Source organism: Homo sapiens, chromosome 7 (assembly GCF_000001405.40).
Source record: "Homo sapiens chromosome 7, GRCh38.p14 Primary Assembly".
NCBI lineage: Eukaryota > Metazoa > Chordata > Mammalia > Primates > Hominidae > Homo > Homo sapiens.
Window position 1 is genome coordinate 25,951,829 of NC_000007.14, and position 13,706 is coordinate 25,965,534.

At 41.0% G+C, this 13,706-nt stretch overlaps 1 long non-coding RNA gene across 7 annotated transcripts in view, besides 1 other annotated feature; it reads right to left on the reverse strand.

Annotated features, from left to right (window-relative positions):
• Positions 1–13,706, reverse strand: part of LOC105375199 (uncharacterized) — a 191,528-nt gene that overhangs the window by 12,567 nt on the left and 165,255 nt on the right. For 5 of the 7 annotated variants that reach the window (XR_927113.3, XR_927117.3, XR_927116.3 and 2 more), the window contains one exon: positions 3,275–3,671. The exons of the other annotated variants lie outside the window; for them this stretch is intronic. This is a non-coding gene — a long non-coding RNA (uncharacterized LOC105375199). Of the gene's footprint in view, positions 1–3,274; positions 3,672–13,706 lie in introns of those variants that run through there. 7 annotated transcript variants of the gene reach the window in all.
• Positions 12,807–12,946: an enhancer, noted in NCBI's record as "active region_25774". NCBI's record gives its function as "activates an Ori minimal core promoter by ATAC-STARR-seq in GM12878 lymphoblastoid cells {active_cell/tissue: GM12878}" and the evidence as "EXISTENCE:reporter gene assay evidence [ECO:0000049][PMID:35858748]".

The window sequence follows — 13,706 nt, forward strand, 5'->3', positions numbered from 1 at the left end:
ATCAAGGTTAAAAGTCGTTTCTTTTAATAAACTGCCCACCACCCATCCCCAAATAAAAAGAGGCCAAAGAGCTAACTAAAAGTAGTAAAAATGCCAGTTCTGGATTTTTTTTTTTAACACGTCTACAAGGACTAACCGAAAGGCCGGTTTGCCTCCACCCTGACGTCTGCTGGGTACTGGGCACCCGAGACTGAACCAGGGGACACGTCCTCCTCTCCTCATCTAGATGGGGGTGTGACTCGGGGGAGCTCAGAATTCCCTGAGAAGAGGTCACGGGCACGTAGAATCAATTTTAACGTGGTTCCCCAAGCACGCCAAAGAAGATGCTGTTCTAGAAAGAAAGGGAAATTGATGAATGGCCACGTGACCAGGATGTCTTCCTTCCTTCCCTCTCCCCAAGGAAAAGAAAGTAACTGCATTGCAAAGGTAGAGCCCATGTTATAAATCGGACTCTCTGATGCCGGCCTGTAGTCACCAAGGAAAAAGAAGGGGACTGCATTTTAAAAAATATAAATATTTCTGAGAACTGGCCTAGTTATTTTTTCCCTCAGGTAACAAAGTATGTGTATCATCTTTATAATGGTTGCATCTGAAGTCTGACCTGGTGATACAGAAAAACATACATTTTTATGGGAAGATTCTTACCTGGAAAATTCTTCCCATCCACTCTTCTTAATTTACTTTCCTTCTCCCCATTTCCCCCTATGGAAAGATAAATCATTGCTCCTTCCAACTGTTTTATCCTCAAGGATCTTTCTCTCCACTCTCCTTTCTCTTCCCTCTCCACACTTGTTTGTTTATCTGACCATTCGCGGGTTTGCAGGGGCCTCTCCCCAGGCATTGTCTCCTCCAGCCCCCCACCCCCTCCTCGGTCAAGGCCCGGCGGCAGTGCTTGCTGGGGCTCGGAGTTTGTCCCCGCTCTGCTGCCTGTTCTGTTGTGTGCACTGGAATATTGATTTTTCAGTGTGTGTGCGCCGGCTCTGTAAAAATCAATATTTCAGTAGCTCGAGCACAGCGCAGGGCAGTGTAATGGAGCCAGCCTGCTGATGTAACGTGCGGGGTCCACCCTCAGCGATTGAGGTCAGTCAGAAAATGGCAGTGTTTTCCCATTTCATTGTTTGCTTCGGAGAGAAGGAAAGAGTTTGCATACCGTTGTGTACATCAGATTCCAGGATGAGGTAACCTTACTACTGTTGGGTAGCAGACGAACCAAGTTAGAAAAAAGACAACGAGGTGATGATGGAAAACCTCCGGTTATCCTTTGTAAGAACGGATCTTAATAAAATACTGGGGGAGGTGGGGAGTTATTGTCTGCCATCAATCCTACCACATTTCACAATGATAAAATGAAAACAGGCTCACTCCAGGAAAGGGCCAGAGTTTATCTTTTAATACTGGATATGTGGGTGCTTATTATTCCGCAGCCCCTAAAATATGCTTCTGATTAAAAGGACAAGAGATGTTTCGCATGACTTGAGGGGAAAAATTAATAATGGTCCCAACTTGGGGGCTAGCCTCATGACATTTGCAGCAGATGTGGAAAGATAGCTGGCCTTGGAGTCAGGAAGGTGCGTTCTCACCAAGCACCCCTGTAAGGAGAGCTTTTAGTGAGTCAGTTCACCACTCTGGGCCTCAGGGAATTTACCTGTGATTTAAAGGATTAGACTAAATCACCTCTAAATACCTTCTTGCTCTAACACCTATGAGTCTACAGAAGAAATAGTGTTATAGCTAAAACCTTCAAAAACAAAAATACGATTGAGTGTGTACCATGGATAAGAAAAATAGCTTAATACCAAAGGTGTTACAGAAAAAGAAGGCAGAGATGCTCCGACTTCCAGTTGCATGTTTTATTTTCCGTTATATTCCAATGCAGTCTTTCTTAGGGGTAACTTGACCTGGCGTTTCTAATTTTAAGAGTTTTTCCTAATGAAATAATTAATAGCACTAGAAAGATGTTTATCATTGCCAGTAGTACAATATTGAAACATTAGAAACAACGTATGTATTGAATAATAAGGGATTTATTATATAAAATATGGGGAGTGGTATATTTATTGAGTGGACTACAACTATTTAATATGGTGGTGCTGAATGACTATCAAAATATTATGGAAGGTTTGCATTCATTGAGATGTATGTACTATTTAAATCTCTATGTGTCCATGTATGTTTATGTCATAATGGTAACAGATATGGGCTCTGAAGCCAGATGGCTTGAAACCACATCCTGTCTCTGCCACTGGCCAACTCTGTGGCCCTAGCAAGTTGTAAACTAGGTGTACCAGTTTCCTATTGCTGCTGTAAGAAATTCCCACAAACTTAGTGGCTTAAAATAACATGCATTTATTATCTTACGGTTCTGGTGGTCAGTCCAAAATAGGTTTTGCTGGGCCAAAATCAAGGTGTCAACAGGGCCATACTCTTCCAGAGACTCAAGGGAAGATTCTGTTTCCTTACCTCTTTTAGAGGCCTCTTGTGTTCCTTGGCTTTTGGCCCCTTCCTCTGTCTTAAAAGCACAGCACTCCATTCCCTGCTTTTGTCATCACATCTTCTCTCTGACTCTCATCCTCCTGCCTGCTTCTTTTAAAGATCCTTATGATTACATTGGGCCCACCTAGATAATCCAAGATAATCTCCCCTTCTCAAAAGTCTTAATCACATCTGTAAACTTCCTTTTGACATGTAAGGTAACACAGTCACACATTCCAGGGATTGGAATGTGGATATTTTGGGGCCATTGTTCTGTCTACCATGTTGGGCTAAAGTCAAGGTGTCAGCAGGGGTGCATTCCTTTCTGGAGTACCAAAAGGAGAAATCCATTTTTTGGTTTTTCAGTTTCTAAAGGTTTCCCGCATTCCTTGGCTCTGGCCTCCTCCTCCACCTTCAAAGCCAGCAAAGGCTGGTTGAATCATTCTCACATCGCATCACTCTCATGCCGCCTCTTGTGTCTCCCTCTTCCTTTCTGATTGCGTTGGGCCTACCTGGGTAATCTAGGATATTCTTGCTATTTCAGGATCAGCCAATTACCAACCTTAATTTTGTCTGCTATCTTAATTCTCCTTTGCCATGTAACATAACGCATTCACAGGTTCCTGGGATTAGTATGTGGACATTTCAGGGAGGCTGTCATTCTGCCTGCCACACTGCCTATCACTGATGGTGATAATCTACATCATAGGGTTGTGCAGAAGATTAAAGCATCCACACATGAAGAGTGTTTACAAAATGCCTAGCATTTTGTAAGAAGCACTCCATAATAACTAGCACAGAGTAAGCATTTCATAATAATGATCCGTTATAGTTATTATCTAGAAAGGAAATACAAAACAGAGAATAGTTGCATCTGAAGGTGGGATTAAAACTGATTTTTATTTTCCTCATTTTGCTAATTTTTTTTCTTTTTCTACCATGAACGTGTATTATTACTTGGGTACTTTAAAAATTTTAAATATAAATGAGAAAAAACCATTAAAGGAGGTTGTCACATAGGAGAATAATTTAATTTGGGGTTAGAAGGCCCAGGTGCTCACCTCAGCAATGGTACAAACACAAATTGTGATACTGGGCGAGTTACTTTACCTCCGTGCACTTCAGTTTTCCTCCTCAGTAACATGAGAGAGATGAACTATGTATTTCAAATGGTCCTTCCAGTTCTAAATGCTCTGCACCTAACATGTTAAAAATCAACAGATTGATAAATGGATTTTAAAAACCCATGCTGCTTAGTACATAAAGAATCCCAGCTGCTTTGCCTATGGAGTAGCCATTTTTTTATTCCTTTACTTTCTTAATAAACTTGCTTTCACTTAAAAAAAAAAAAAAGAACTCCACAAAATCAGTAAGAAAAAAGACAGCGCTATAGAAAAAAAAGAGTGGAAAAGGCATAAACAAGCATTGCACAGAAAAAGAAAAGCAAATGGCAAATAAGCTTAGGTAAAGATGTTAAGCCTCATTAGAAACAAGGAAATGTAATTTAAGACTTCAGTGAGATATCATTTTATACCCACTAGGTTGGCAAAAATTCACAAGCCTGACAACATCAATAGATGGAGATGATGTAAATCAGTGGCATTTGGGGTCTTTTCACACAACGGATTATTATACAGCACTGAAAATGAATGAACTACAGCTCCTCACAAAGCTATGGATGAAGCTTGGAAACATAATGTTGAGCAAAAAAAAAAGAAGATGGAAAAAAGCAAGTCCCAGGAGACTAAGATATAACGATGCCATTTTTATAAAGCTCAAACACAGCCAAACAATATAATTTTAAGAAATTTATAAAGTGATAAAAAGCAAGAAAATGATAAATAGAAAATTCGGGTTAGTGGTTGCTGGTAGGACGTGGAGGGAAGGAGGGTGAGAAGGCAGCCCAAAGGTGGATGCAATTGGCAATGTTCCTGTTCTTAAATTGGACATAACACTTAGGCTAGTAAGTGTTCAGTATATTATGTTTTGTGATTTGCATATGTGAGAGATATATATATTTTATATGTACCAAATATTAGATTTAAATTTTTTTTTAAGAATTCTGTTTAGGGGCTTCTGTATTCTAATCTAAGATGCTTTACTTCTTGGAGTTGAGGCTAATCACTAAGTTTCCCTTCAAACTCATAAAAGCCAACTCTTTATTGGCAATTTGCTATTTGTAATCCCTCTAGTTAAACAGACTTCATAACAGCCACCCACATCTGGGCTTGTGCAAAAAATGTTTTCAGTTTATGCTCCAAATGAGCCTCATTTTCTCTGAGAACTACACTGCACTCCCAGAGTTGGGGGGTATACCAGCAGGAGCAGTACCTCCAAAAGTCTCTTGGAGCGTGCCCTCTGTGTGCCTCCGGAGCCCTTCCTTCATCTTGCCTGCAGCTAGCCATTTGGGCAGCTTCTGCAGCTAGGGCTGAGCTATACAGTTCATAAATATCCCACTTAGCCCATGTGAAATTGTCTCTACTCTGATTGATTACAGTTTTGATTTTAATGCTGAAAAATCACATTCTGTGTGCTCCTGACTTGTCTTCTGTTGTTTTATAAGGTTTGTCCATCTGGCCAAGACATCATCTAGAGTGGCTTGGTCTCACAGTCCTGCAACAATCTGGCATTAGTGTTATTTTTGACTTTGATTCCATCTTTGATTCCATAGTCTCCCAAAGAATAAGCCAGTTTTGTTTGATGTAGTTTTCTACTTCCTTGACTCTAAACGCAGCATTTGGAAGTAATTATCAGAACTCACAGGTACTTTAAATATCATTGTTTCCACTGAAAGGACTGGCTTACATAGGGTTCACCAAATGAAGCGGATGCTTAGCACATGGAGGAGGGATGAAGGTGGTCTTAGGGCAGCAGTAATATTTGGCACCCAAACATTGCCGCTTACATCCACCTTTGGATGTTGGATGCTACAGACACACATCAGTTGGGTTGAGTACCTTTTTTGGTTTTTTTTTTTTTTTGGCTTTTTTTTTTTTTTTTTTTTTTTTGAGAAAGAGTTCCACTCTCGTCCCCCAGGCTGGAGTGCAGTGGCACGATCTCGGCTCACTGCAACCCCCACCTCCCAGGATTAAGCGATTCTCCTGCCTCGGCCTCCTGAGTAGCTGGGATTACAGGTGCCTGCCACCATGCCTGGCTAATTTTTTGTATTTTTAGTAGAGACGGGGTTTCACCATGTTGGCCAGGCTGGTCTCGAACTCCTGACCTCAGGTGATCTCCCCGTTTCGGCCTCCCAAAGTACTGGGATTACAGATGTGAGCCACCGCACCTGGCCTGGAGTACCATTTTTTAAGACCTGCTACCTAAGGTGGAATGGCCCCCAGTCCTGTACACTTTGTGTGAGGTCTTCAGCTTTGGAGACATAGATTAAAAAAAAAAAAAAACTTTTTGTCATGAAAAATTGCCAAAAATATACCGAAGGATAAAGAATGCAGTATAAATATATCCCACAAAAATAGATATAAAAATTACAGGAAAAGTATAAAGAAATCTGTCACCCACCACCAGTTTCAATAATTATTAACTCAGGACCATTTGTGTTTCATTTGTACTTCCCCCATGCTCCCCAGGATTATTTTGAAGCAAATCCTCAATATCATGGGGTGTAAATGTTGTGAATGGATCTTCATGACAAGTATTCTCAAAGCTCCAGATAGGATATTAGGAATGGCAACACTGAGTAGGAGGCCTCTCTTTGCAACATTATTACATGCTATTCATTCTAATTAATTAAATAAATGAGAAGACCAAAGTTCTTTGCAGTTGAGACTCGCTTTAACTTCCCAGTAGAAGGTTTTCTTGGATAAACTTAACATATGGAAAATTACTGCAGGACTTTATAGTTGGGAAGAAGGGGAGCAATAGAACAATTTAACTTTTTAAAAGTTTATAATTCCTCAGTCTCACCATCAATGAAATATTGAGAGAGTCCATGAAATAACATCAGTCTATTACAGTAGTCTTAACTGGTCTCTATGATCCATCCTACATAAATTGCTAGCATTATTTTCCTCTAGCTCACCTTTGCCCATTGTTTTAATAAATGTGAGTGCCTATTATGTACAAAGCATCGTACTAAGCCCTGGAGATAATTAAAAGATGAATCAGATATGGAGATGTGGCTCCTATTCTGTTTTTGTTTTTGTTTTTTAAGACAGGGTCTTGCTCTGTCACCCAGGCTGGAGTGCAGTGGTACAGTCTCAGCTCACTGCAACCTCTGCCTCCCAGGTTCAAGTGATTCTCCTGCCTCAACCTCCCTAGTAGCTGGGATTACAGGCACATTCCACCACGCCAAGTTAATTATTATATTTTTAGTAGAGACAGGGTTTTGCCACGTTGGTCAGGCTGGTCTCGAACCCCTGACCTCAAGTGATCTGCCCGCCTCACCCTCCCAAAGTACTGGGATTACAGGTGTGAGCCATGGCACCCAGCCTCCTATTCTGTAATAAAGAATTTGGTCTTTGCCTGGGCTCCTGGGATCTTCTAAAGCCTTAGAATTTTCTGAGAGATAGGAGTGCCTTGGTTATTCATGGTGGGTCCCGAGCCCCACCTGAGTTATGATAAGGAGATGACCTAGGATGGGGCTAGTCATGATGGAAAAACCGACTATGTGATGAAGCTTTAAGCCAGGAGATATCCATGATATTCAAATAAGGTTTATAAACTTGAGGTAAAGCCCAGCATAGTAGATCAAATATGAAGGAAGAGAAAGAGAAACAAGAAAATTGGATAAACTTTATCCAATAGTTGACAGTAGAATAGTGTTTCATAAAGGATTATTTCTTAGTGGGAGAGAAAGGGTTATTCTTTAGCCTTCTTCTACCAAGAAGTCAGGAAATTTTAAAAATTTGGGTAGGTGTCATGTTAGAGATGATGCCATCCATCAAAGGAAGAAGACAATCTGATGTTAATGTCACTCCTAAGGCAAGAGACCTGTCCACATCTCCCCAGGCCCACATAAACCCTCTCACTGAGCTCATAGCTGGTTCCACGGAGAGTTAAGAGTCAAAGCTGAACCCCCAAGGGAGGCCATCATCTGTGCAGCTTAGCCAAAAGAAGGGAACTACTGCCCCAGACAGCCTAAGTCAAGAATGTAGCACGTTGACCAGCCACCCTCAAACTTCCAGAGAGGAGTCTACACGTGTAAGAATCACAGCTCAAGGAGACTGAGAATCTACAGTAGATTGAAGCCTAACTCAAAATCCTGCCCAGTGAGCTTGTCTTTAGTCAGTGTGTTTGTTTAGTTTAACTGAACGGGAGATTGTAAAAGACTGTTCCTGAAAGCAGCTTAGACCTATTTGTTTGTGGACTCTCCTGAAACGGACCTACTAATGGGAAAATATTTTCCTAAAGATTCTTTTCCAAATAGAGTGCTTTAAACTAAATATTCAAAAGAGATCATTGTTTCCAAGCTAGAGGAAGTAAAGGAGCTGGGTTAGAGATGTAAATCATATGGCTTTCAGTTTGCACACAAAAGGTGCTTGCTTCGAAGTCTGAAGGTAAGAATAAATTAAGTGCAAAACTTTCCACCTACATGAAAAAAATATTCATCAACTGGCATTACTTGTATCTTAATTTACAAATAACTGGGGAATTCTGTTACAAATTCCAAGCTGTTTAATTTTTCTAACATCATATTCAGAAAAACTATAGCTTCTAACCTTTAAACTTAATAATCAATATTCATTTTACCCTCTAGATGCTGATCTTATAGATGGAATCTATAGTGTAGTTTACTAATACTCTGTTAAAAATGTACAAATGGGCCAGGCATGGTGGTTCATGCCTGTAATCCCAGCACTTTGGGAGGCTGAGGCAGGCGGATCACTTGATGTCGGGAGTTCAAGACTAGCCTGGCCAACATGGTGAAACCCTGTCTGTACTAAAAATACAAAAAGTTAGCCAGGAGTGATAGCGTGTGCTTGTAATCCCAGCTATTCAGGAGGCTGAGGCAGGAGAATCACGTGAACCTCAGAGGTGGAGGCTGCAGTGAGCCAAGATCATGCTACTACACTCCAGCCTAGGTGACAGAGCGAGACTCTCAAAAAAAAAAAAAAAAAAAAATTACAAGCCCCCTTGACAGCACCTTTTGAAGATAAGTCTACCAATACCAGCCCCCTCTAGCAAACCACACAACCACATGTACCAGCATCCTTAATCTCTCTAAAAATCTCAATTTGAGGTCCTGTGGAAATAACAGTACATTCCTGAGAATTGTTCATCTTTATTCCAGGTTCTGTTCTAATCTCAGATTTTTCTTTACAAGGGAAGAGAGATTTGGAAGATCGACTCTCAAAGCTGGAATGTCTGCAGGGCCCTCCCTCTGGCTGCTGGCAATCCTACTAAACATGAGACCTCTGCCTAGCACCCCAGTTGCTTACTCTTGATCTCACTGCCTTTCCTCCTTTTCGTTCCTCCTGCCCTAACATGAGGCAGAGCCTGTGTCTCCTTCAGCCCCTCTTGCCAGGAGACATCAAAACCCTATGAACTCTTTAAGGAAGACATAGCGCCGTTCTCTGAAAGGAAAGGCCGGTTTCCAAGCTCTTAGTATGCTTATCCCTGGTTTTCAGTTCACTCTATTTCCTACTTGGTGCCTTCTTTCCTGCTCCAATCTCCATTGGGCTAAAGCGTGCAGACAAGTGCCATTTTCTTGGCCTTTATAGCTTCTCTGCCCACCCTCTTGTTTCTCTTCATTAGCAACAAAGCTTTTTCTTCATCTTTAGCAGTAAAATAATGATATAGCCACCATTTTGGGAACAGTGCCTGGAACTATATGGAATGACACACCGACCCCAGTGCTCAGAGCTCCCCAGCCCCCTCCCCTGCCTTCTTCCCATCTAACATAGTATATGCTTACCGAATGCTTTTTTCTCCCCAAGACTGTAAGCTCCCTGAGGGCAGGAACTTTGTCTTTCACCCCTGTTGTCCCCAGACAGCAGCACATACACATTGTAGGCATTCTATAAATAGTTGTTGAATGGATAAATGTGCTTAGAGTGGAAGATGTAAACAAAGGGAGTGAAGACCAGACATGCATCAAATAACTTGCCTAAGCCTTTGTCATGTAACCAATAATTGTTCTGTAAAGGGTTATGGAATTACCCAAGGGGTGTTAACACAGTCAATGACATCCTAATGCTGCCCTCTAGTAAAAAAATAAAACCTACTTTTGCTTTCAGATGTCCGTTGTAGCCTGACATTTATTGTGGGGATTTTTATTTTGTAAAGAAGCAATCTGTTAGGCACCTGTGTGAAACCTTCTTATTTAAAGCATATAAAATATTGAGTCATATCATCAAACTCAATGTTTTCCTTTCTTTATATTCCTCAGCCACCACCAACATGATCTACTTCTTAATTTGATTATCTTTTTGGAGAAAAGTCACTTTCACCAAAAATCTATATCAGAAACACATATGCCTTTTTAAGCAGTATCCTTTTAAATATAGACTACAAAATCATATGGTACTTTCAAAAATCTGAACGAGTCAGAAAGTGTGTTTCGCTAAAATAATGAAAGAAGAGGGAAAGGGAAGAGAATGGCTTATAAACTCATTTAATCTTCCAATAAGATTCGCCTTTAATAATTTTATTTCTTCATCTATCGTGAATGTCACAGTAAAGTATTTGATTTACTCAGGATCAAGGAACCTCTTGTTAAATCAAAAGCTGATGAATGCATTCTCAACGCAATTCAGTTCAAGTTTGCCAAACGATAGTAGGGATAGCTCTGCTCTGGATTCAATTTTGCCTATTAAATATGAGTTGCATTATTGAAGTTGGTGCTGATCCTCGGGTTTATTTCTGCTCACTGACAGGTTTTGATTGCAACTCTCCATGACATTGGCTCTCCAATCAGTGGAGAAAAAGCCTTTTGCATGATACAGAACCCCAGATGTTCCAGTGTTCTGCTCCTTCTGCCTGGAATTTGAACTTTCTTTTGAGTTACCAGGCAGCATTCAGTTGCTTTCCCCTTTATGCTTTCAACAAATCTCCCTCTGACACCTATCACAGAGTTTTGCAATCAATAATTTATACCCAGAACTGTTGTTGGCCCATATGGCACCTTTGTGTAAATTACAAAAAGACACCCCTTCCTATGGGTGAGTCAGAGAAAGATGGGATAACACCAACTACCTATTTTTATGACGTTTAGGGAGAAAATTAGGGAAGGGGAGTACACTCATCTTCTTCCTTCCTCCCAGTCCCAGTCCTCCATCATGAAACAAGAGAGGGATTTGCCACCCACAAATTTTTTCGCCGTTTAGTTCGATTGTGAAGATGGTTCCTGCTAACAATAATGAGAGTTGTCCTGTCAAGACCAAATCTCTTTCAGAATAAATGGAACCAGGTCAACATTTTGTGCAAGGAAGATTTTTTTAGAGACAAGTCACATGATCTTCAAATGCACGCTTTGCAGGTTGTCAGCCATTCAATGATCTCTGACATTTTTAGAGATGGTCTCAGATTCTGGGTTTTCAATGAGAACAAGAGGAAAAATGCAGTGGTGCTTTTTTCTTGTGCCTGAGATCACTGCAACAATAACCTTAATCATGTCTCCCTCTTGCATGCTTTTTTGGGTAGCAGGGAGAGAATCGAAGGGAGAGGGAAAAAAGGTGTGGGAAGGGCTGAGAGGTGGCTGCCACTGGGATCTCAGCAGTATCCGTCGGACACAATCAGGATGCAATGGAGCCTGAGGTGCTTTTCTCCCTGGCCTTGGCCACCAAGGGGATGGAGTACATACTCTCTCTCTCAAGGGTCCTTCTCAGTAGGTTAATGGTGCCTCCCCATGAGACTGGAGCTACACAGACTCCTCCGCTCCTACTTTCTCAACCATGCTCTGAGCACTTTGATGGTAGTTACTGATGCGTATGGCTAGGAGTGCTCATTTCAGGAAGTCTTGGATTTTCAGCCTGAATGGACCCTAAAGATCATCTATTTCAGTGTTTTCAAACTCTTTTATTATACCCCATAGTAGAAAAAACATTTCACATTGCAACCCTATGTACACATAAACATATAAACAGAGATTTAACGGAAATGACAACTTTTGGCAACAATAATATGTCATATGACATGTAATGCGTTCCAACATTTTCTTTTCTTTTCTTTATTTTTATTTATTATTATTACTATTATTATTTTGAGAAGAGTCTCACTCTGTCGCCCAGGCTGGAGTGCTGTGATGTGATCTTGGCTCACTGCAGCCTCAGCCTCCCGGGTTCAAGCAATTCTCCTGCCTTAGCCTCCCGAGTAGCTGGGACTACAGGTGTGCACTGCCACGCCCGGCTAATTTTTGTATTTTTAGTAGAGACGGGATTTCACTATGTTGGCCAGGATAGTCTTGATCTCCTAACCTTGTGATCCGCCCACCTCGGTCTCCCAAAGTGTTGGGATTACAGGCATAAGCCACCGCGCCCAGCCTCTTTTTTTTTTTTTTTTTTTTTTTTTTTTTTAATTTTTAATGCTGATCAAACTCACTAAATTGGTTTCATGATTCACTAGTGGATTGAGGCCTACAGTTTGAGACTTACTGATCTATTTTAATCCTCATGTGTTATAGAGCAGGAAACCAAAGCCAAGAAGGTTAAGTGATCCGGCCAAGGTCACACACACAGTTACTGCCCGGTGGCAGAGCCAAGACTAAAACTCTGGTAGCAAAATCATCTAACTTAGCTAATTATTAATAATAAACACTCTTCTTGCAAAATGCTGTGCTAGTACTGTGAACAGTGCATGCTGTTACAAAAACATAGTTTTTTTTAATGGTAGAAAGTTAAAGTCTTTCAAATTAGAATTAAATAGAATGTCATTCCCCAAATCCCCGTATACATATTTTCAGTTTCAAATTCCAGTGTCTAGAGGGCTAAGTCCATATATATGTGTATATGTATATGTGTGTATGTGTGTGGATATGTATATATGTTTGTTTTAAATTACATCTGTAATTTGGCTCTAATGTGCAGGCTCATGTAAACTTCTCTTTACTGATGTTTCCAATGCAATAGAAAAAAAACCTGAGCAACCAGTCCTTCCAAAGATCTTTAGTTAAGCCTTCATGGTCAAAGAAGGGCAGTGAGCAGCTCTGGGATTCAAAGGGGCCTCTCAGTTACACAAGAGGGGACTCCACTGAGGTATGAATAAGAAGTGGGATGCATCGGACAGAAAAAGCCAAGTAGCAATAGTGTGAGGCTAGAACGTCCTCTGCAAACCTCAACCACATCACAGCCCATCATTCTTGGATGTCTCCCCATCAAATAACTACACCCATAGCAACTACAGTTGACTACAGTTGACTCTGACCTCACCACCCCTGTAAGAGTAATAATTCCAGTAAGAGAAGTTCGTCTTTAAAAATATAGCCCTAAATCTCGGCAACCAGCATACTTTCTTTCAATAAAAGCATGGGTGCTTTCCTGTTCCACCTATTTTTATCCTGTAGAAAAAAAAAAGTCCCTTCCAGCCAATGCAAATACTCTCTCACTCTCTGCCTCACCAGCAGCAAGGCGGGTTGCAAACCTGCACAGGATATAGAACTGAGGAGGCAGTGTGCCTGATTTTGCTGTCGTGTTATTCTTTTCATTGATATGGTACCTTTCCAGCGGTTCACATGTCAGCTGATGAAAGCAGCTGTGACCTTTTACAACAATTGGCCTCTGTCTTTACATTGGCTGTCTTTGCTTTACTGGGATTCATGAAGATCACCTTGGGGGCATCTTTCAACCCATTCCTGTGAAATGGCAACCGAACAGAAAATGGCACAAAGGGAAAGAGACAACATTTGTGGATACACTGAGGGATAGATATTGGTACTTTTAGTTTGTGAATGTAAAAATGTCACAGGTCATTTCTGAGCATATTCCAGCTGGAGGCAAGAAATGCTTTGGGGTAAACATATGAACCACATGTGCAGAAGCACTGAAAATTAGGTATAAAAGTCATATATGCAAAATTGCCACAAAACTTCCTGCTGTGATCATTTGGAAATCACCTTGGAGTATAGGTTTCTGGCTCATTTTCCAAGCTATGCAATTCCTTTCCAGAAACCCCTAGGCAGCACTGCCTCCCTCCCCTAGGTCCACCCTACCTCAGCAAAGCACAGTGAATGTCCTAATTCCTGGGACAGCTCCTTTTGGGGAAATAGGAAGAATAGATCAGAGGGTTTGATTATAAGCTTTAAAAATCAATTTTAAAAATTGATATAGTTCTGTGCTTTC